This window comes from Homo sapiens, chromosome 10, assembly GCF_000001405.40.
Source record: "Homo sapiens chromosome 10, GRCh38.p14 Primary Assembly".
Taxonomy (NCBI): Eukaryota; Metazoa; Chordata; class Mammalia; order Primates; family Hominidae; genus Homo; species Homo sapiens.
Window position 1 is genome coordinate 44,605,736 of NC_000010.11, and position 24,317 is coordinate 44,630,052.

The 24,317-nt window shown below is 37.2% G+C and overlaps 1 annotated feature.

The window, feature by feature from the left end:
- Positions 22,692–23,891: an enhancer, noted in NCBI's record as "MED14-independent group 3 enhancer chr10:45123875-45125074 (GRCh37/hg19 assembly coordinates)". NCBI's record gives its function as "activates an origin of replication core promoter dependent on BRD2, BRD4, P300/CBP and CDK7 cofactors, and independent of MED14, by STARR-seq in HCT116 cells {active_cell/tissue: HCT116}" and the evidence as "EXISTENCE:reporter gene assay evidence [ECO:0000049][PMID:35650434]".

The window sequence follows — 24,317 nt, forward strand, 5'->3', positions numbered from 1 at the left end:
TCTTTTCCCTGCGTAATTCCCCTGTATAGAAACTCCAGTACATTGTTGAATAGAAGAGGTGAGAGTTGCCAACCTGTCTTTGTTCCTAGTATCAGAGTGAAAGCTTTCAGTCTTTCACCATTAAGTATAATGTCCTCTTTAGGTTTTGCACAGATGCCCTTTATCAGGTTGAGAAAGTTTTCTTCTTTTCCAAGTTTGTTGAGGGTTTTGGTCATAAATCAGTGTTGCATAATGTCAAATGTGTTTTCTGCGACTATTGAGATAATCAGGTGTGGTTTTTCCTTCCATTCTATTAATACAGTTTATAACATTACTTAATGTTTGGATGTTCGATCAGTCTTGCCATTTGGGATACATCCTTCATGGCCATGGTGTATAATGGTCTTTTGTATGTCCTCAATTTGGCTTGCTAATATTTTTCAAGAAGTTTTGTGCTGTGTTCATGAGGGAATTGGTATGCAACATTCTTTTCTTGTGATATCTTTGTCCAGCTTTTGTAAAAGGATAATAATAGTCTCATAAAATAAGTTGGGAAGTGTTCCTGCCTCCTCTATTTTGTAGAGGAATTTGTGTGTTGAGTAAAACATTATTTCTTATTTAAATACGTGTTTGATTTGCCATTGAAGCCCTCTGGATACTCACCTATCCCTCTCCCAGGACCGTTGTTATTGCTTATCTGTTTAGTGACTTGGTTGTTTCAGTAAAGTCTATGTTCCTCACAGTGTGAAACCTATGATGTTTCTTAGAGAGTGAAGTCTGGGGATACACACAGACCCTGTGGGATAATAGATTTTAGTAGGGCTCCTGTTGGCTCCTGTGTGCTAAGTTGTCTGCCTCTGTTAGTATCACACTCAGCAGTTAGCCTTCACTAATTGCAGGTTAATTTCTCTATTGTTCTCAACAATGTCTGGGGTATAAATCGCTTCATAGTCTGATTTAATTATTTTGGGCCCCTTTACAGGGGTAGTTTTTGAGGTTTCTTTTGACTCCTGGGGGCCTTCTCTTGTCTGCCTGTTTCCCAGTTTGATGAACTAGTTGGTGTATGGTTTAGCTTGTTGCTGTATGGAGCCATCACCCTCTACTCAATTGCCTTAGCTTCTCCACACTCAGCTCCAAAATAATTTCATTTCCTTTGAAGAAAGCTTCAGAGATCTCTGTTCTTATGGTCTACCATCCCCTGGAAAACCATTTTTGAATCAATGCCCTGGAGCTGGGAACAAGCACAATGTCACCCTTCTCTCTGAATGACACCCTGCTTCAGAGGCAGGGCGCTGGGTACTGGTTTCTGGTCTTCTCAGTTTTGCCTCTCCCAGTGTGAAAGTGTTGCCTTTGAGCCTGCTGGATGAGTGTAGTATGGGACTCCAGTGTTCATCTCCTCTGCCTGGGATAGGGCCTCTATCTTGTGAGTGCAGTCTTGGTGGAGGAAGGGAGCTATCACCCTCTCAGTCACACACACATGGAATTTATTCTCTACAACACAAATGGGGGTGGGGTAATAAAAAATGCTGGCAACTTGCTCTTTCCAGGGAGATACAGTAGCCTACTGTAGCCTTTGATTGGAAGCTGGGGTAAAGGGAGCCCCATCTTCTTGGCCACAGCTTCCCATAGAGGACTGAGCTAAGGGGAAGGAGCGAGTGTTGGCTCAAATGTCACAGACTCTCACTGTTCTAGCTGAGATTTAGTAAATCTGCTTCAATAAGTGTTTCTTCATTTGCTGTATGCTCTAAGAACAATTTCAAAAGACTTTAGATGGTTGCTTTTTAAAAAGCTCTCAACAGTTGTAACTATTTCACTGGAAGGCATATTTACAGAGCTTCTCACACCACCATTCTGGAAGAGAGATAATACCTCGGAAAATGTCTAACTAGAACAGCAGAGCTTTGAATACATTCTTGGTATAAATAATACATACATTTCTAGAGAGTATTAAAAAATTGAAGAGTAAACTTTTCTGAAGTATCTTCCTGTATGTCCTCTCCTTTAATCATCACTGCCCTGAGATAGGTATGGCTAATAGCATTTTTCACCTTTTTGCAAATAAGACAATGACAGAAATAGGCATGAAGAAATAACTCAATGTAGAGGTAGATTATAACTCAGTCCTTTGAGATCTCACCTTCCCAGTCGTTCCTCAGTGAATACCATACACCCACATCACAAAACAGCACCCTACATTCTAAGTCAGGCTAACGGAGCCAGGACATGGATTCTTGGACACACATTACAGACGCGTATCCTCTATGTCTATTCTGAGTCCTAAGCATGTAATAAGACTGTATAGAGAAATAATTACTGAGGTTACAGTTCTCATTACTGGGTTCAAAGGAGGCAATAGAGAAAAGGGATAGGAAATTATCCTGGATTATGGGTTCAAAAGGTCAGAAAAGAAACAATGCATTTGACATTTTAAAAAATGATATAATTCTTGGAATAATGAAATGTTTCTATTATTATTCCTCTAGGAAAACTTGAAACTTTTATGATAAGAATCCCCAAGAGTAGATGGGAAAGGTGCAATCTCACCATGGTGGGTTCATTTTCATTGTGTAATTTTATTTACCTGCTCAGAAATCCTCCCTCAACACTTCCACAGAAGCTCAATTAAGATGATCTGGAAGTGAACTTAGTTTCCTGATGCCAAAGCTCAATGAGTTGACAGCATGCATAGTTAGAGATGGCTCCCGCAGTGCAGGTGCCATCAAGGGAGAAAAGTTCAGGAATTTCTTCTCCCTTTTGCCAAAGATGAGACTTTATGTGGGGCTTACATGAAATTGGATACAGAATATGTGCTATATTGGAATAAGGAATTTCTACACTGTTGTCAGAAATAATGGCAAAAGCAAGAGCAGAGAGCTCCTGCAGCTATAGTTTGATCATTGAGCTTTGAGGACATGGATGACCATATTCCAGGCCCATCACCAGGGAGACTGACCTAGAGTTTTTGTGAAGATGTACAGGCTAGAGCTGGCTCAAGAGCAGGACCAAGCATGTGTGGAAGGGTCTGGATATTGTTAGAGAGCACACAGTCACAGCCTGCCCATTCTAGAGCTCTTCCTTGGCCTTCTAAGGAAGACTTCATGGCTGCTCACTTAACCCTTAGGAACTAAAGCTAGGCAGAATGGAGGGGGAGGGTGGTAAAAGTTATACTGGAGGAGATTCTTCAACAGGGATAAAAAATAATATAAACTGGGAGGCAGGGAGTTGGGATTGATTCAAGAATCATTTAGGCTGGATTTAAGAGAGTCAATTTTTAGAGGGCTTGAATTTGAGGATACAGTTGCCTTCTAAGGGGATGATTTTGAGACTAGCGAAAATGAGAAGATTCTAAGTAGATTTTATTATGATTCTTTGTAAAAAACAGTAGGATTGCTCCAATTATTTTTAAAAAATATTTTGGATTGTTGTTCTTTGACTTGACATTGAACCTTATCTTGGCAATAGGGACTCAAAATTATAGCTGGGTTATCTGTGGTTTTGGTATATGTGGCTACGTATTATTCTTCTTTGAGAAAAATTAGCCCAATAAAATCCTTGTCAATGGTGCCACATAATATTGAGAAAAAATATAATAAACACTAAGTAATTAACCAAGGAATTTTTAAAATGCGAATGATTTGTGATGAAATGACATATCTGAAAACTGACTTGCACTTGAGAAGGCACTGTCAAATTTATTGTCATGTTATGTCTTCCTAGAAAGTTGGTGAGAATGCAGCAGATAATATGGTAAGAGTGCTGAGAACAAGGCAGGCACTGTATTAGAGCTTCAAAAATCATGTTGGTTTCTCAAATTCTATGTCTAAGCAAAAAATAAAATCTTGACATGGCAGTTAATTATCATGTGGTGGGATGTAATATCAGACAGTATTAAATTTTAGTGAAAATCTCAAGTACAGCAGAATTAAACAGAATACTACAAACTAATTCCCTTAATTTAAAAGTGAGGTTTTCACCATGTGCACAGACCCTCATACAAATAAAGTATATGATTCCAAACTACCTTCTCAAGAGATGACATCAGCAAAATGGCAGAGTAGGCATTGCTGAGCCTTCATGTCCCCATGGGAACATTAAAAACAAGCAGAAGCGGGTTGGGCACATTGGCTCATGCCGGTAATCCCAGCACTCTGGGAGGCCAAGGCGGGCGGATACCTGAGGTCGGGAATTCAAGACCAGCCTAACCAACATGGAGAAACCCCGTCTCTATTAAAAATACAAAATTAGCTGGGCATGGTGGCACATACCTGTAATCCCAGCTACTTGGGAGGCTGAGGCAGGAGAATCCCTTGAACCCAGGAGGCAGAGGTTGTGGTGAGCTGAGATTGCGCCATTGAACTCCAGCCTGAGCAAAAAGAGTGAAACTCTGTCTCGAAAACAAAAACAAAAACAAAAAAACAAGCAGAAGCTTCCATAACCAACTTTTTTGTTTTTTTTTTCTTTTCTCTTTTTAATTGGGCAATAATTGTACATATTCATGGGGTACATAGTGATATATTGATACATATAATGTGTAGTGATCAATCAGGGCAATTAGCATATCCATCAACTGAAACATTTATCATTTATTTGTGTTGGGAACATTCACTATCCTCCTAGCTATTTAAAACTATATATTATTGATAACTAGAGTCATCCTACAGTGCTATAGCACACCGGAACTTATTCCTTCTGTGTAGCTGTAATTTTGTATTCTTTAACAACCTCTGCTTCTGCCTCCTTTTTCACCACCCTTCCCAGCCTCTGGCATCCTCTGCTCTACTTTTTACTTCTATGAGATCAACTTTTTAAAGCATCCACATATGAGTGAGTACATGTGCTGTTTAACTTTCTGTTCCTGGCTTATTTCACATAACATAATGTCCTCCGGTCTTATCCATGTTTACATGAATGACAGGATTTCATTCTTTGTTTTGGCTGAATAGTATTCTATGATGTATGTATACCATATATTCTTTATCCATACATCTGTCGTTGGACAACTAGGTTGATTTCGTATCTTCGCTGTTACTTGTTGGAACTCTGGAAAAAAATCAAAGGCTTACAGCAACCAATAGAATGCTGATCTAAGGAAAAAAAGCAACTTAAAAATGTTAGGAAAGCTGTGTGATAGGAAACTCCATCTCCTTCCCAGTATGGCAGTGGTGATGAAGTGGCAGCAGCATGTATTTCCAGTGTGAGATCCTGGTCTCTGATTCCAAAGAAAGAACATATCTTATTAACAAATTATTGTGTATGTCTGTTCTACCATGACTGGAGATACCTAAAATACCAGTGCAAGGTGCTTGTCTCTGTTTTGCCTAACTCAGAACTCAGGCCAGAAAAGTGGTGGGCATCGCTCAAAAACAGTGCAAGCTAAATTAATACTCATCATGTGCTTGGGGCAAAAAAATTATGGTTGAAACATAAAATAGACTACCTAAGCCCTAAGAAAAAAGCTGGGGAGAGTTTCTTTGGGAAATTAAGACATTAAAAAGTAGCTGCGTATATAGGGGGGTTTCAAAAGCCATTTGCATGCACAGGAAAAGGTGAAGGGTCACAAAAGACCTATGGCAACCCTAAAGTTTTACCCCAGTGTGATCCCTAGGCATGGAGTAAGCTAGCCAAGTGTAGAAGAAGTTGCCTGACACAGAGACAGTCTTTGAAAAGGGTGGGAAATTTTAGCTTGTTGTAGCTCCTAACATTCAAGGAAATCTCTGAAAATGTGCAAGGTGAACGCAAGCTAAGAAATACAGACTTCAGTGACCACACACAAGAAATAAAATCTTTGCAAAAGTAGTTTTGTAAAGTCACTAAACAAATGGAATACTACAACCTTTAACAACAACAACAAAAAGATAGACAGCCCTGGAGAAAGGGAAGAATCTGATTTCCAGTGAGAACACATTGTAATATTAAAATATCCACTTGTCAACAAAAAAAAATCACAAGTCAAGGAAACAAGAAGGTATGGCCAATTTAAAGAAATAAAATAAATCAACATAAACTATCCTTGAAAAAGCTCAGACATTGGACTTACTTGATGTACACTTTAAAGCAATGCTTTAAATACACTGACAGAGCTAGGGGAAAACATAGAAAAAGAATTAAAGAAAACATGAAAACCAACATATAAACAGAATGAGAATATCAATAGATAGAAATTATTTTAAAAAACCAAACAGCAAGTCTGCAGCTGAAAAGCACTATCTATAAAATGTACACTAGAGGAGTCCAAGAACAGATTTGAGCTGGCAGAAGAAATAACAAAGATAGGACAATCAAAATGATTAAATCTGAGAAGAGAAAATAAGAAAGAATGAAGAAAAATGAACAGAGCATAAGTGAACTGTGCACCATCAAGGGAAACAACACATGCATTATTAGTGTTCTAGAAGAGAAAGGGGCCAAAAAGGTTGAATTATTTTATGGCTGAAAACGTCCCAAATTTGACAAAATACATGAATTTACAAATTCAAGACACTCAATGAACGCCAAGTAGGATAAACTCAAAGTTATCCACAGTGAGACACATTATAATCAAATAGTCAAAAAAACAAAAAACAAAAGGAATTTTGAAAGCCATAAAAGGGAAGTGACTCATACATATCAATGACCGTACAGGGCTCATTGATAAGATTAAAAGATCATTTTTTATCAGAAACCATACAGTCCAGAAGCACTGGGATGACACATTTAAAGAGCTAAAATAAAATCACCCTGACAATCAAGAATTTCTGCGCCCAACCCAGAAATCACTGTGAAATGTCACGATTGGCTTAAAGTGAAGGAAGTAAAAGTAAAATCACTTCAGATCTCTAAAAAATAAATATATAAATGAAGATATCCAGTAAAGGTAACTTAATGGGTAAATATAAATGCCAGTATTATTATTTTTTGACTGATAATTCCACTTTGTGTTTGTTACATGATTTAAATACAAATGTGTAAAATATGAATCTATGTTATGGCTACACAGTGTATAAAGATGTAATTTGTGGCAACAATAACATAAAAGGAGAAGACGGAGATGTACGTGAACAGAGTTTTTGTATGAAATTAAAGTTAAGTTGGTATCAATTCAAAGTATATTGTTGCAAATTAAGGATGTTAAATGTGATCCCCATAGTAACAAAAAATAAAATATCTCAAGAATATACACAAAAGTAAAGGAGAGGAAGATCAAATTGGTTTACTAAAATTGAAAAATTAAAAATGTAACTAACCCTAAAATGAGGCAATAATGGAATAATGGAACCAATGTATAAGACATACAGGAAACAACAAATAGCAGATATCCTTCCTTATTAGTAAATGTAAATGCATTAAACCCTCTAATCGAAAGGTGGATATTAGCAGAATGAATTTTGTAAAAAATGATACAATTATATGCTATCTACAAAATACTCAGTTTAGAACTAAAAACACAAATAGGTTAAAATGAAAACTGGGAAAGTATATCCCACACAAATAATAACCAAAAGAGAGCTGGAAGCCTGTAATACAGACACTCTAGATTTATAAGAGACAAAGGAGATAAAACAATCGGCTAACAAAGGGGATAAAAAATTATAGGCATATATACACCAAACAAGAGCGCTTATGTATATATAAGGGCTTTCAAAGGGCTGTGGGGTGAGTGTGTGTGTGTATGTGTGTGTGTGTGTGGAGAGAGAGAGAGGTAATACTGACAGAATTAAAAGGAAAAATAGTTCTATAATATTAGTTGGAAATTTCAATACCCCACTTTCAATAATGTATAGAACATCTGGACAGAAGATCAATTATAATATGGAAGACCTGAAAGATATTATAAACCAACTAGTCCTAACAGACATAGAGAACACCTTACTCAACAACAGAAAAATATGCATATGTCTCAAGTACACATAGACTATTCTCCAGGATAGATCATATGGTAGGTCACAAAACAAGGATTAAGATGTGTTAAAACATTGATATAATACAAAGTATTTTCTCTAGCCACAGTGGAATGAAGCCAGGAATTAATAACAGAAGGAAAACTTAGAAAGTCACAAATATGAAGAAATTAAGCAACACTCTATTAAACAACCAATGGGTCAATGAAGATATAACAAGGTAAATTAGAAAATACTTAGAGATGAATGAAAATGAAAATAACAACATACCAAAACTTATGGGATGCAATAAACGCAGTGCTCAGAGGAAAACCTAAAACCATAAATTCTTACATTTAAACAGATTTCAATTTGACAACCTAACTTATACTTTGAGGAATAAGAAAAAGAAGAGAAAATTAATTGAAGTCTAGGAGAAGAAATGTAATAATAAAGATTAGAGTGGAGATAAATAAAATAAAGAATAGAAAAAAATACAGAGAATCAATGAAAACAATAGTTGGTTCTTGGAAAAATATCAACAATATTGACAAATTTTACCAAGACTGACAACAAAAAATAGAGAGGAGGCACAAATAACAGTGCTGAACTTACATAAATTAAAAGGAATATATAAGAATACTATGAATATTTGTACACAAAAATTAGGTAATCTAAATAAATTCTCAGAAGCATAAAATTAATTGAACTCCAGAAAAAAAGAGGCATCTGAAGACATATATAACACAATTAGATACATTGAATTAGTTACCAAAAACCTTCAAAAAGGTCAGGCGCGGTGGCTCACGCCTGTAATCCCAGCACTTTGGGAGGCTGAGGTGGGCAGATCACTTGAGGTTAGGAGTTTGAGACCAGCCTAGCCAACATGGCGGAACTCCATCTCTACTAAAAATACAAAAATTAGCCAGTGTGGTGGCGAATGCCTGTAATCCCAGCTACTCAGGAGGCTGAGGCATAAGAATCACTTGAACCTGGGAGGCAGAGGCTGCAGTGAGCCGAGACTGTGCCACTGCACTCCAGCCTGGACGACAGTGCAAGACTGGGTCTCAAAAAAAAAATTTTTTTTTCAAAAAAAGAAGTCCAAGACCAGATGGCTCAATTAGTGAATTCTACAACTATTTAAAAAAGAATTAAAATCAATCCTTCTCATAGTACTTAAAAAACTAGAAGAGGAAAGAAACATTTCTTAATATATAAAGCCAGCTTTACCCTGATTACAAAGCTTTGCCCTGATTACAAAACACCATAAAAGAGTAAAGATCAATACCCTTTGTAAATACAGATGCAAGGCCGGGCGCGGTGGCTCACACCTGTAATCCCAGCACTTTGGGAAGCCGAGGAGGGCGGATCACCAAGTCAGGAAATCGAGACCATCCTGGCTAACACAATGAAACCCCGTCTCTACTGAAAATACAAAAAATTAGCTGGGCGTTGTGGCGGGCGCCTGTAGTCCCAGCTACGCGGGGAGGCTGAGGCAGGAGAATGGCGTGAACCCGGAAGGCGGAGCTTGCAGTGAGCCGAGATCGCGCCACTGCATTCCAGCCTGGGCGACAGAGCAAGACTCCGTCTCAAAAAAAAAAAAAAGAAAAGTAAAATAAATAAGTAAATAAAGATGCAAAAACCCTCAAGAAAATACTAGCAAACCAAATCCAACAACATATTAAAAGAATGGTACACCATGGCCAAATAGGATTTATTTCTACAATGCCAAGATTGCTCAACACATGAAAATCAGTCACTATAACACCTTCATTAAAAGAATCAAGGGAAAAACGCCACACAAACTTCTCAATCGATGTGGGAAAAAAAGGATTTAACATAATTTAACATCCTTTCATAATAAAAATACAATAAATTTTGAATAGAAGAAAATTATCTCAACATAATAAGAGGCACAGATGAAAAATACACAGTCAACATCATACTAAATTGTGAAAGACTGAAAGCTTTTCCTCTAGAACACGACAAGGATGCTCACTTTCACCATAGTTCTGAAAGTCTTAGCCAGAGCAATTAGTCATGAAAAAGATATAAAAGGCATAATGCCCAGGTGCGGTGGCTCACACCTATAATCCCAGCATTTTGGGATGCCAAGGCAGGTGGATTGCTTGAGGTCAGGAGTTTGAGATCAGCCTGGCCAACATGGTGAAACCCCATCTCTACTAAATATACAAAAATTAGCTGGGCATGGTGGTGCATGCCTGTAATTCCAGCTACTCAGGAGGCTGAGGCAGGAGAATCTCTTGAACCTGGGAGACGGAGGTTGCAGTGAGCCGAGATCGCACCACTGCACTCCAGCCTGGGTGACAGAGTGAGATAAATTAAATAAATAAATAAATAAAAATGTTTTAAAAGATATAAAAGGCATACAAATTGGACAGAAATAAGTAAAATTATCTCTGTTGCAGTTGACATTATCTTATATGTAGAAGACTACATTTTTTCTCAAAATAGAATTAATTGAATTAAGTAAAGTTGCAGGATTCAAAATCAGCACACCAAAAAAAAAAAAAGTTGTATTTTAATACACTAACAATGAATGATCTTCAAAAGAAATTCAGCAAACAATTCCATTTGCAATAGCATCGAAAAGACTAAAACCCTTAGGAATATATTTAACCAAGAAGGTAAAAGACTTGTACACTGAAAACTATAAAATATGCTGAAAGAAATTAAAGACACAAATTAATAGAAATCCCATGTTCATGAATTGGAAAATTTAATATTAGTAAGATATCAATATGACCCAAGATGATATAGAGATTCTGTGCAACCCCTATCAAAATCCCAATGATGTTTTTTTTGCTTAAACAGAAAAATCCATCATGAAATTCATATGGAATTTCAAGGGACAAAGAGCACCAAACAATCTTGAAAAAGAAGAACAAGTCAGAGGTTTTACACTTCCTGATTTCAAAAGTACTACAAAATTATGGTAATCAAAACAGTGTTTGACTTTCATAAAGGCTAACATGCTGACCAATCAGATGGAATAGACAGACCTTTAAAACATCCTTGCATATGTGATCAAATTATTTCCAACAAAGGTACCAAGGCTATGCATTGGGGAAAAGCCATTATTTTCAACAAATGGTGGTGCTGGGAGAAGCAAATATACACACATGTAAAGATAAAGTTGAATTCTTACCTTATACCAAATGATTAAAATGGATCAAATATCCAAATGTAAGAGCTAAAACTATAACACTCTTGGAAGAAAACAAAGGAGGAGGCCTCATGACATTGGATTTGGCAATTATTTCTTGAATATGACTCCAAAAGTACAGTCAATAAAAAATAGTTAAATTGGGCTTCCTCAAAATTAAAAACCTTTGTGCATCAAAGTACACTATCAACAGAGTAAAAAGGCATCCCACAGAATGAGAGAAAATATTTGCAGTCATATATCTGATAAGGGATGAATGCACAGAATATCTAAAGAGCTCCCACAACTCGACAACAAACAAACAAATAGATTAAAACATGGACAAATGACTTGAAGAGGTATTTATCCAAAGATGATGCACACATGGCTAATAAGCAGTTTTTAAAAGATTCTCAATATCATTAGTTATTGGGGAAATGCAGAACAAAAACATAATGAGGTGCTACATCACACCTGCTATTATGACTATTTAGAGAAACAGAAAATAACAAATAGATGTGGAGAAACTGGAACCCCCATACATTGCTGCCTGGACTGTAAAATGGTGCAGCCACCATGGGAAAGAGTTGTCTGGTTCCTCAAAAAGCTAAACACATAATTTCCTCGTGACTGAGCAATTTCACTGCTGCATATATACCCAAAATAATTAAAAACAGGGACTCAAATGCTTATATGCCATTGTTCATTGCAGCATTATACACAATATCTAAAAGGTGAAGCAACCTAAGCGTCCATCAGATGAGCATAAAATGGTATATACATTCAGTGGAATATTATTTAGCCATAAAAACTGAAGAAAGTTCTTATACTTGTTAAACTATGGATGAACTTTGAAACACGACGCTAACTGAAATAAGCCTGACATGAAAGAACAAATAGTTTATGGTTTCTGTCAGTCCATCTGTGTTGCCATAAGGGAATACTTGCGGCTGCTGGGTAATTTATAAAGAAGAGATGTATTTGGCTCAGAGTTCTGCAGAGTTCTGCAAGAAGCATGGCACCAGCATCTGCATCTGGTGAGGGCCTCAGAAAGCTTCCATTCTTGGTAGAAGGGAAAGAGGAGCTGGCATATAAAGATCACACGGAGGATCGGAGGAGGTTCTAGGCTCTTTCTAATAATCAGCTCTCACAGCTGTCACAGGAACCATTGCAGCAAGAACTTACTTATATCAAGCGCAGCACCAAGCCATTCATGAGGGATCTTCAGCCATGACCCAAACACCTCCCATTAGGCCCCACCTCCAACACTGGGGGGTAAAATTTTAACATGAAGTTTGGAGGGTCAAGTATGCAAACAATAGCAGTTCCCTTATGTGAAATATCTAGAATAAGAAAATGCATAGTGGAAAAAGTAGGTTAGAGGTTATCAGGGGATGGGTGAAGGGGCAATATGGGGAGTCGTTGCTTAATGGTTACAGAGTTTCTGTTTTGAGCTAATGAAAAATTTTGAAAATAGGTAGTGGTAATAGTTGCACATCACTGTGAAAGTCATTAATGCCACTGAATTGTACATTAAAATGGCAAATTTTATGTTACATATATTTTACCAAACTAAAAATAATTTTAAAAAACATTTCACAATGAAAATGGTGCTTAGAATCTGGAAGAAATTACGCCACAAGGAACATTGGGTTTTGCTTCCAGACCCTTCAGCCTACTAACCACGTGAACCTGGTCATATCACTTACATTTTCTGAGTCTTAGCTTTATTAGACACAAATTGTGTTTCATGATGATTTGTAGAGAACTAAATGTTCAAGTGTTCACTGGGTTCTTTTTAATATAAGATACACTATTTGCCATGCTTACTGTCGCAAATACAGGGAGAAAGGATGGAGTATGATGATAACCACCCTCCCATTCTTGTTTCCTGTTTTAGACTAAGTACTTCTTAATCCAGCCTTTTTTTGTCCAAACCTATATGTAACCCAGCTTACAATGGAGCAGCCTTATTGCCAAGATCATTTTTTTCTCACTGATATCATTAAATGCAGTATTTTTCATTGCCTCTCTGAGGGCCTTTTCATTTCCTCTATGTCTCCAAAATGGTCCCAGAACATTAGCTGGTCCTAACTTCTACTAGGGACACTGAAGGAATTCCTTCTTGTAATGTTGCTAGTGAAGATTTATTTCTAGTTTCTGAACGGAGGTTAGGTAAATCGACCTCCAACATATCCTTTAGCCACGTGATTCAATGATTCTTGGATTCTATAATCTATTGAAGGAATGAGATATGATCCCCTTCCCTCCCCATCTGTCCACCAATAAAATGAAGCTGACAGGGGCCCCAGGGGATCTCACATTTCCTTTCGTGGAAAATGGAATTCAGGTTTTTGTAGATACTGATCTTTATGACTCTTTTTATGGAGCCTGAAAGGGTCTGACCTATTATTTGGACCAAAATCTCCTGTCAACCACCTTGCATTTGATTTACATCTAGCTCAGATATGTGGTGCTGTTGCTTAACCATGCTCTGCTGGGAGAAAGTGAAAATCTGAACTGTAACATGTTAGAACTGCCTTCTGCTAGACTTGCCAACTACAAGGAAGGCATTCAGGGCCAAGGTGACCATGTATCATCCCAGGTACCACGTCTTTTCATCCCTCTTAGACTCCCAATCTTGGGTTCTAGGCGAGTCCTAAATGTAACCCACCTCAGCAAGAGTTTTCCCTACAGCGCTCTCCCACTGCCCAGCAGCAATCCAATTTAGAATCTCCATGGTGGCTGTGCTCATACTCAGGCCTGACTCAATGCTTGCCTTCTTGCTCACCTACCAAGTGTTGTTTCTTAGGCCCCTCAAGTGCCACATATCCAGAAATGAGCTCTCCATTTTATCTCTAACTTATTCTTCTCAACCTTCCTTCTGATCTCTTTCAAACTATTCTACACATGGCCTCCATAATATTAATTGGGTAATTCAAATCAGATTATGTCACTCTTCAGCATCAGCTCTTTGGATGGCGTCCCAGGATTTGATCAAATGAGGTTGTTTTTGCTGTTTTTATTCATTTGTCTCAGTGTCTTTTCCATATTGTCCCTTCTGTCTAGAATGCTGTTCCTGTCTTCTTTACCTGTTTAATTTGTATGAATTGCCTAATGTTCAACTCAGAGCCTTCCTCAAATCTCTACTCTCAGCTTTTTCCCTTCCTCATTAGATTACATATTGTTCTATTTCTATAATATTCTTTGGATGATTTTATCACTGGATTTACCACATTGTGTTGCAACTTTCTTCTTAAGTGTATGTCTCAATTAACTGAGAGTCTTTGAGGGATGAGCAATCTTATATTTATCATGTTGTCCCCAGAGTCCAGCATGATATTGACACATGAAAGGTCTTGATGAAGGTTAGTTAAATGAATGAATGAATCAGTGAGTGATTACCTAACTTGGCACTGCTTTTTCCCTTGTGGCTCTTCCTTGCCTCCCCCACACTCTGCTGAGTTTCTTTGCAGATGGACCTGGGCCTCATTCAACTCTGTGCTTCCCCACCCCTCTCCCAGCAACGGCACACAGTAGCACATCAGCAAATGTCTGCTGAATCAACAAATCAACAAGGCTACTGCTTAGATTCCGTGACTACTGGAGTAAAGGAGACATAAATGAAAGCCGAGCAACCTTTCCGTGCCTAGTAGAGGGAAGGCAGTAAGATTTTTCCCATGAACCTAATGGTTGGACTCATTCACATTAGATTTGCTATGAAATAGACTCAATGCTCTCTTGAAACTTTAATTGGTCCTCCTCAGAAACCATGCAAGCAAGAAGAGAGTGAGTTAAATATTTAATGTTGAAAGAAAAAACCACACCAACCTAGAATTACGTACTCTGTGAAATCATCCTTCAAAAGTGGATGAGAAATAAAGACTTTCTCGGTGAAATATAAATTTAGGAAATTTGTCTCCAGTAGGCCTGCCTTGCAAGAAATGTTAAAAGAAGTTCCTTAGAGAAAAGGACAATAATATAGGTTGGAAACTCAGATATACTTAAAGAAGAGTAGTGAAGAAAGAATAAGTGAAAATAAAATTAAAATGTTATTTTTCTTATTCTCAATTGATCCATCAGATAGCAGTTTATTCAAAATGATAATAGCAAAATTGTACTTGAATATATAGATACATATAATATACATGTGTGACAATATATAAGCAAAATAAATGACAGAAATGATACAATGAACAGGAAGGAGGATTTAGAATTATTTTATTATTATAAGGTACATGCACTACCCATGAAGCAGTATAGTGCTGTTTGAAAGTGGTCTTGCTTAGTTGTAAACATATATTGTAAACTCTAGGTCAACCACTAAAAAGAGTAAAAAAAAAATATATTGCAACTGATATGCTAAGAGAGGTAAGAAAATGGAATCATATAAAATGCCCAATTAAAGCCACAAAGGCAAAAAAAAAAAAAAAGGAGTAAAAGAAGAAACAGGAAGAACAAGGGCAACAAATAGAAAAATATGGCAGATATTATTATTATTATTATTATTATTATTATTATTATTATGTCAGAGTCTCACTCTGTCACCCAGGCTGGAGTGCAGTGGCGCCATTTCAGCTCACTGCAAACTCCACCTTCCGGGTTGAAGCGATTCTCCTGCCTCAGCCTCCTGAGTGCTGGGATTACAGGCACCCCCACTACACCTGGCTAATTTTTGTATTTTTGGTAGACACAGGGTTTTGCCATGTTGGCCAGGCTGGTCTCAAACTCCTGACCTCAAGTGATCTATCCACCTCAGTCTCTCAAACTGCTGGGATTACAGGTGTAAGCCACCATGCCCAGCCAAAATATGGTAGATATTAAACCAACCACATCAATAGTTGCTTTGAATGTCAGTGGTCTAAAGGCATCAAAGAAAAGAGAGATTGTTAGAGTGAATCAAAAAACAAACCCAGCTATAAGCTGTGTACAGGAACACACTTTAAATATAAAGATACATATATAGATTAAAAGCAAATGGATGGAAAGAGATTACTGTAGTAACACTAATCAAGCTGGAGTTGCTGTAATTATTTTAAATAGAGCATACTTCACAGCAAGGAAAGTGTCAGAAATAAAGAGGGGTATTAGATAATAAGAAAGAGGTCAAATCTTCAGGAAGACATAACAATCCTTAAAATGTATGTGCCTAACAACAGACAATCAAAATATGTGAGGCAAAAAACTGATAGAACTGCAAGGAGAAACAGATTAATCTACTATTACAGTTGGAGAGTTCAACACCCCTGTATTGGAAATGGACAGATCGAGCAGGCAAATTGTCAGTGAAGACAGAGTTGAACTCAACAACACTATCAATTAACTGGATGTAATGGATATCTATAGACCACTTCATCCAACAACAGCAGAATACACATTCTTCTCAAGCTCACAAGGAACATTCATTCACAAGAATAGATCATACTCTGGGCCATAAAACATACCTTAACAAATTTAAAAGAATGGAAATTATACAATGTCCACTCTCAGACCACAATGGAATTAAACTAGAAGTCAGTAAAGATAGCTGGAAAATCCCCCCAAATAATGGCAGATTAAACAACATGCCTTTAAATAACACATGGATCAAAGAAGAAATGTCAACAGAAATTTTAAAATATTTTTAAGTAAATGAAAATGAAGATAAAACTTAAAAAAATGAAATGCAGTAAAAGCAGTGCTTAGAAATTTACAGTACTCAATGAATACATTAGAAAAGAAGGAAGAGCTAAAATAAATAAAATAAGCTTCCACCTTGGAAAACTAGTAAAACAAGAACAAATTAAATTGAGAGTAAGCAGAAGAAAATAAATAATAAAAATCAGAGCAGAAATCCATTAAATTGAAAACAGAAAATCAATAGAGAAAAGCAACAAAATCAAAAGCTGGTTATTTGAAAATATCAATAAAGTTGATAAACCCCTTGTCAGGTTAACTAAAAAAAATAGATCACAAATTATTAATATCATAAGTAAAACGTAGGAATTTACCTCAGATCCCATAGTCATTAAAAGTAGAATCAAGGAATACTATGAACAAATCTGTGCTCACGAATGGGATAATCTAGATAAAATGTACCAGTTCCCTGAAAGACACTATCTGCCAAAATTAATACAAGAAGGAATAGACAATCTGAATGGACCTATATCTATTAAAGAAATAGATTCAATAATTAATAATATTCCGCAACAGAAAGCACCAGGCCCAGATGGGTTAACTGGTAAATTCTACCAATTCAAATTGAGGGCTATAGACTTTCACTAAAATTCATCAATATTACATCAATATATTCTTGTACTCAAGACAGAAATCCTGAATACCAATGAACTAAGATAATTATTCATTTGCTTTATCTCACCATGTATGGTGGACACAAGTCTTCAGATAACAGACAGCAACACTACCACAAACAATGTTTCCTAAAATCTGTTTAAGATTTTTGTTTGCATCTTTTTGTCCTTAGAGTTTATCCCACTAAAGTTAAATGACTGTGTTTTAAAGTTTTTGAAATAGTTTCTCTATGCACAGGTAGGCCACCAGTGCAATACATAGCTAAGTACAGTTGTTTTATTTTGCTTTCACTTTTCAGGGCTTTTTTTTTTCCAAATATAATTTTGTTTTGTAATTATGCAAAACATTTACATGGTGTCAAAGGCAAATTTATAAAACCAGAGACTTTCTTTTTTTTTACAATTTTACTTTAAGATCTGGGATGCTTGTGTGGAACGTGCAGGTTTGTTACATAGGTATACACGTGTCATGGTGAAAACCAGAGACTTCCAGGCAGGTAGATTTTAACCTTGTCTCCTGCACCTTGTTTCTTCTCTCCCTCACAGTAAATTGTACTTTTTTTATGTTTTAAAAATTATTGGCCGGGCATGGTGGCTCAAGCCTGTAATCCCAGCACTTTGGGAGGCCAAGGTGGGTGGATCACTTGAGGTCAGGAGTTCAAGACCAGCCTGGCCAACATGGTGAAACCCTGTCTCTACTAAAAGTACAAAAATTAGCCAGCCATGGTGGTCCGCACCTGTAGTTCCAGCTACTCAGGAGGCTGAGGCAGGATAATCGATTGAACCTGGAAGGTGGAGGTTACAGTTAGCCGAGATCACACCATTGCACTCTAGCCTGGGTGACAGAGCAAGACCCCATCTCAAAAAAAAAAAAATTTCTTCTAATTTTAATATGGGAAAATATATGCATTTATTTATATACTCCTATTTCTTTGGGAAATAGTAGCATACTACACGTAATTTTTTAAATTTTCTTTTTCTCTCAACTATCTACCCTGACATTTGCTCTGTAGCAGTATATAGGGGTATTATATTTTTTCAACTGCAGAATCTGTGTGAAATATAGTTCATTCAATCAACAAACTACTGATGGATATTTGTGTCTTTTTAAAAACAAGATGCTACAACAAAGACCTTTGTGCATACATCTTTTAGAATATTTACTAGAATTTTAGAATTTAGTTTTTGTAATAAATGAGTTTCAAATTTTGTCAAATGCCTTTCTGCATAGTGGAGATATTTACTGACTTTTTTTTTTCTTAGCTTTGATAGTATGATGGGTTATATAAATGCTTTTCCAACAGTGAATCCATCACATATGTAGACTATATCATTATTTGCTACCATGATTTTAAAAAATATGCTATTAGATTCTGTTTGATTTTGTTTTATTTAGGATTTTTGTATCTACATCCATAAGCGAGACTGGTCCGTGGTTTCCTATTTTGGTTCAACCTTGGTCAGGTTTGGGGATAAATGTTAGACCCATGTTCTAGTTTTAGTTGTCATCCGTAAACTGAGCTCTCACAAATGTTTACCAGACCTCTGCCCCCGCTTCCAGACCCCTCTGTCCAGCCATCTTTTTCACATCCTTCCCCGGATATGTGACAAGCACTTCAAACCCAGCACGTCCAAAACTGAGCTTGCCCTTCTCCCCACACTTGTTCCTCCACAGTCTCAGCATCTCCTGAAATGTCAACTCCATCATATTAGTTGCCCGGGGCATAAGCCTTGGAGCTCTCCCTGGCCTTTCCTTAATTCCACAACAGTTCCATTGGCAACTCTTGTCAATTCCACCTGAATGTATCCGGAAGATGATCTCATCACAGCTGTTGTGCCATTGAATCCTTCCTCACAATCCTCTGTCTCCTCCTCCTTGGATAATTGTGCTCCTCATTTTTCTCTCTGCTTCTGTCCAGACTATTCTCAACACAGCAGGAGGGTGATCCTTTTTAAATCAAGTTGCATGATGTCTTTTTAAAATTTCAACTCTGCAGTGGCTTCCCAACTGATACACTCACTCTTTGCATTGGCCTGCAAGGCCCTATGTGACCTGTTCTTTGTCACCTCAAGATCTTTTCCTGGAGGTCTCATATCCACTTACTCAGCTCCAAATGCACTGCCTTACTGCTACTGCTCAAACACACCAACTCCTCTGCCCAGAAGGCTCTTTCCTCTTCTATCAACGCAAGCTCTGTTCCTCACACTCTTAAGATGTTTGATCAGATGCTGCTCTCTCAGTGGGGTCGTCTCCGGCCAATCCTTCCCTTGCAGGGTCATCTCAGGCCAACCCTTCCCTGTCTCCCCTGTTTCATTATTCTCCAGAGCATTTACCCTGCAGGGCTGGACTATGGATTGTATTTATTGGTTCATGGTCTGCCTTAGCTCCATGTAGGCAAGGGTGTTCATTTTGTTCACTGCAACATTTCCGGGCACCTAGGACAATATTACTTACGGCAGCATTCAGTAAATATTGATTGAACTTGCTTTCCAGGGATTAATCCATGTGAGTCATTATTTCATTTATAATAATTATTCAATTAGGTTTGCTAACACTTTAAGAATATTGTTTCTATGCTCATGAGTGGAATCAGTCTATACAATCTCTCCTTATGTGGTTCTTGTTTTGTTGTCAAAAGGAATTTGAGAAATATTTCCTCTTTATCTACTCTTTTTGAACATTTTGTGTAATATTGGAATTGAAAGTGAAACACTTGGGCCCGGTCTTGCTTCTCTAGGAAGATTTTTAAATAAAGATATACTTTAAATCTTTCTCTTTTTATGAGTAGTTTAGCAAATATATTTCTCTACAAATGTGTTTTTAATTAAGGTTTTATATTTATTGACATACTCATATGACTAAATTTAAATTAATTAAAATTAAACAAAAATTAACAACTTAGTTTCTCAGTCACACGAGCCACATTTCAAGTGTTTGACAGCCACATGTAGTTAGTAGTGACCACATCAGACAACACAAACATAGAAGATTCCTTCATCACAGAAGTTCTACTGGCCAGAACTGGCTTATAATATTCTCCCTAGATATTTTCCTAGATGGATCTCTTTTGCCCATAATAACCTAGCACAGACATCTCCACCTGAGAGACAGTCTTCTGACTACTCAGTTTGAGGTAGCCCCCATAATCCACAATGACATTACTCTTTTTTATTTTCTTCCTGGCCTCCCACTTTCCGAAAGGATCTTACCTCTGTCTCCCCTTTATTGATATATACAATCCATAAGAACAGGGACCTTTCTGACTTGCTCACCAGGAATCTCTGAAGTATAGAACAGTGCCTTGAGGTATTCAAAAAATATATATTAAATGAATAAAGTAGATAGAGTAATTGGAAAATCTTCCTAAAGAAACAAACAACACTACGCCCATGTTTTACTTTCAATTCCAGTCTTATACAAAATGTTTACAAAGAGTACATAAAGAAGAAATACTTCTTAAATTCCTCAAATAAAGTAGATTGAGCAATTGGGAAACTTCATCAATGGCAAACTAAGCTTAAAAAGGTAATAAAATGGTACATAATATTATAATATTTTCCATCTCAAGTGTCTCCTCATTTTATTTTTCATTTGTTTTCTTACTCTCTTATTTTTCTCATATTAATCAGTTTCATCAAAGGCTTGCTTATTTCATTAGTTTGTTAAAAAACACAATTTTGATTTAATTAATGATACCTATTGTATATTTGCTTTTTCTGTCATTAACATTTGCTTTTTTGTTATTTATTTTCTTCTGCTGTCTTTGGCTTTATTCTACTGATCTGATGCTAATTTTTAAAAACTTGGCCAGGAAGGGTGGCTCACGCCTGTAATCCCAGCATTTTGGGAGGCCGAGGCAGGCAGATCACCTGAGGTTGGGAGTTCGAGATCAGCCTGACCAACATGGAGAAACCCCATCTCTACTAAAAATACAAAAAATTAGCCAGGCATGGTGGTGCATGCCTGTAATTCCAGCTACTCAGGAGGCTGAGGCAGGAGAATCGCTTGAACTAGGTAAGCGAGGTTGCAGTGAGCCCAGATCATGCCATTGCACTCCAGCCTGGGCAACAAGAGAGAAACTCTGTCCCAAAAATAAATAAATTAATAAATAAATAAATTAATTAATTAAAAGCTCAATAACATAAGGCTTTTTGGTTTTAATATAAACAATATAATTTATATCTCTTTTGAGGTAATGCTTCACTGGATAGTATGTTTAGATATGTTATTTTATTTTTACTAATTTTCAGTCTTTAAAAAATTTCCATATCTTCTTTGACCCATGAAGCAGTTAAAAGTTTTTTTGGGGGGTGCAGATATTATTTTTCTTACAAAATGTATGAAGTTGCTTCTGATTGTCCTGCATCAGATGATTTTTTTCTGAAGTTACAAACTCTGGAATTTGCTAGAACTTGCTTTAAAACCTGACACTTGGTCAACTTAAATATATGTACATACATGTATATATATATGTATATTTTTCCATGTATGCTTAAGAAAAAATGTTGATTCCATAATCATTGGGTAGAGTGTTCCATACATCCATTGAATATTTAATTGGGAATTTATTATCACTGCTCTCCTAGAAATGAGACTGGGATGACCCTGATAGGAAAAGAAGCAGCAGGCAGGAGGAAGAGCATCCTCTTTTCCAGCTCTACAGCCTTCCTGAAGCTCCATCTATTGGCAGAGCCCAACAGGAAGCTGCCGGCCAAGGAACAATGCAGTTTCTAAGTCCCTGCCCCAGCCTTGCAAAGATAGACGGGTGGGTTTATCCGCACCATAAGACAGGGTGAGAAAAAAAAAAAAGAGGGTGGGTTCAGAGCCAAGAGACAATGTCTCAGTAATTGTCATACTTGCCAAGAAATAAAAATTGTAATTAGCTTATGTGCATCTGAGGTTCTAAAATATTGCTACAGATAGCATCAAGCCATGATAAATCCATAGTAGTAGGGCCAAATCTCTAATCTGGATTTGTTAAAACAGTGCCTGAAGGAAATGATGGTGTGGTGACTCAATAATTCTTTTGGAAATATTTTTCTTTTCTCATGTTTTATCTTCCCAAGTATCTCTGTTAGCCTACAACTATCTGAAGTACAGTCATGTGCTACTCAACAACAGGGATCCATTCCGAGAAATGTGTCCTTAGATGATTTCTTTGTTGTGTGCACATCACAGAGTGCACTTACACAGTCCTAGAGGATAGAAGCTACTACACATGTCAGCTGTAGGGCATAGCCTATTGCTCCTAGGCTACAACTTGTACAGCCTGTGACTGTACGGAATACTGCAGGCAGTTGTAACACGTGGTAAGTATTTGTGTATCTAAACATACCCAGACAGAGGAGAGATACAGGAATAGATAGAACAGGAATTTTTCAGTTCCATTATAATCTTATAGGACTACTGTCCTATATGCAGTCTATCATCGAGCTAAACGTCATTATGAGCTGCATGACTCTATTTCACAGTCAGTAATAAAAAACCCTTGATCCAAAAAATATATAGGATTTCCTCAAGAGGGAAGAGTCACCAACACAGTGGGTTTGGATTTGTCTGTGGGGTCTGCACCATCCTGTCCACATGGCATTTCTTGGATCTCATTGATGGATGTTACTAATCTCAGGCACTCATGGCTAATGAACAGAGCCATTGCCACACTTTATGAACTACAACAAGAGATGTTTCCATTATACTCTGTTAGGTGCACTGTGCCAGGCATAAGGAGCGGCAGAGACAAAACAGAACCTGCCTTTAGGGGTCCTACAATCAAACAAATGAGACAAGACATGCTCAGCGTTGTCTACAATAGAATAACTTCCATTGCTTTCCAAGGTAACATCATATTTCCTTGTTAGTTTGGCCGGAGATTTCCGAGTTACCCAGCTCTCCTGCTGTCTCTGTAGTCAGCTAGTCATCAGATGTAGCTTATTTTCATTACAGCATCTTCAGGAAGCCCCAGATATTTTGTTGCCAACCACCCCTTTAGAAAGCCTCATCCACCCAACCCTAGTTCTGTCTTTATTTTCCAGCTCCTTACTCCTCAGCAACCCCCGGAACACCACTTTCTGATTAATCTGCATGACTCAGCACTTTCATAATGTTCCTTCTTGCAACAGAAAGCCTCGGGAGCTTTTCCTTGACTTGAGTAGCTGACCCTCCCATCAGCATAGCCAGAGAAGAAAAAAAAATGCTGATTATTAATTTAGACATCTTTCAGAATACATATTTTTAGGAAAATAGTCCCTTGGGATCCTTGCATTCACAAAGGACTTATCCTGATGATCTTATCCAATGCTTTGATTTTTGACTTCTAGAATGATTTCTACATGAAAGAACTTGCTTTTTCATTCTCTGGAACAAAATGCATAGTCATTATTACCCACAATTCCAAAAATAAATACCCATATATCTGAGAAATGCTTCCTTGGATATTTTATATCTTTTTCAAGAACACTTGCATAATTTTCAGGGTCCAGAGCAAAATAAAAATGCAAGACCTCGGGTTCAAAAATTATTAAGAATTTCAAGATGGCAACAACAGAGCATTAGGATTTCTGAGTTTGGTGCCTGAGACAGCTGCGCACGTTGTATGCCCATGAAGCCAGCCCTGATCCCTCTATTATGTTTAGAGTTTATTCCTTGGAGAATAAGAAAAAATGAACTAAATGCAATTTTGAAGCACATGAACTATATTACCTAAGGCTTCTGATATCTCTGACAGTAGCAGACAACCCTCTTGGTGAAGGGAACAACCTGGAAACAAGATTATGTGCACATAATTTTGATGTCACCACTTCCCAGAAGGTTACTTAATTTCTCTTTGACTCAGGTTCCTCATCTGTAAAGTTGAGATAGTAATAATAACACCCACACCGTAACATAGGGTTCTTATATGGATTTAATGAAATAATACAGGTAAAGTACTTAGGACAGTGCCTGGACAGAGAATGCTCTATCACAGTTTGGGCTATTAAAATTATCTCTTTCTTTACAAAGTTTTCTGATTTCTGTTTTTATTCTTA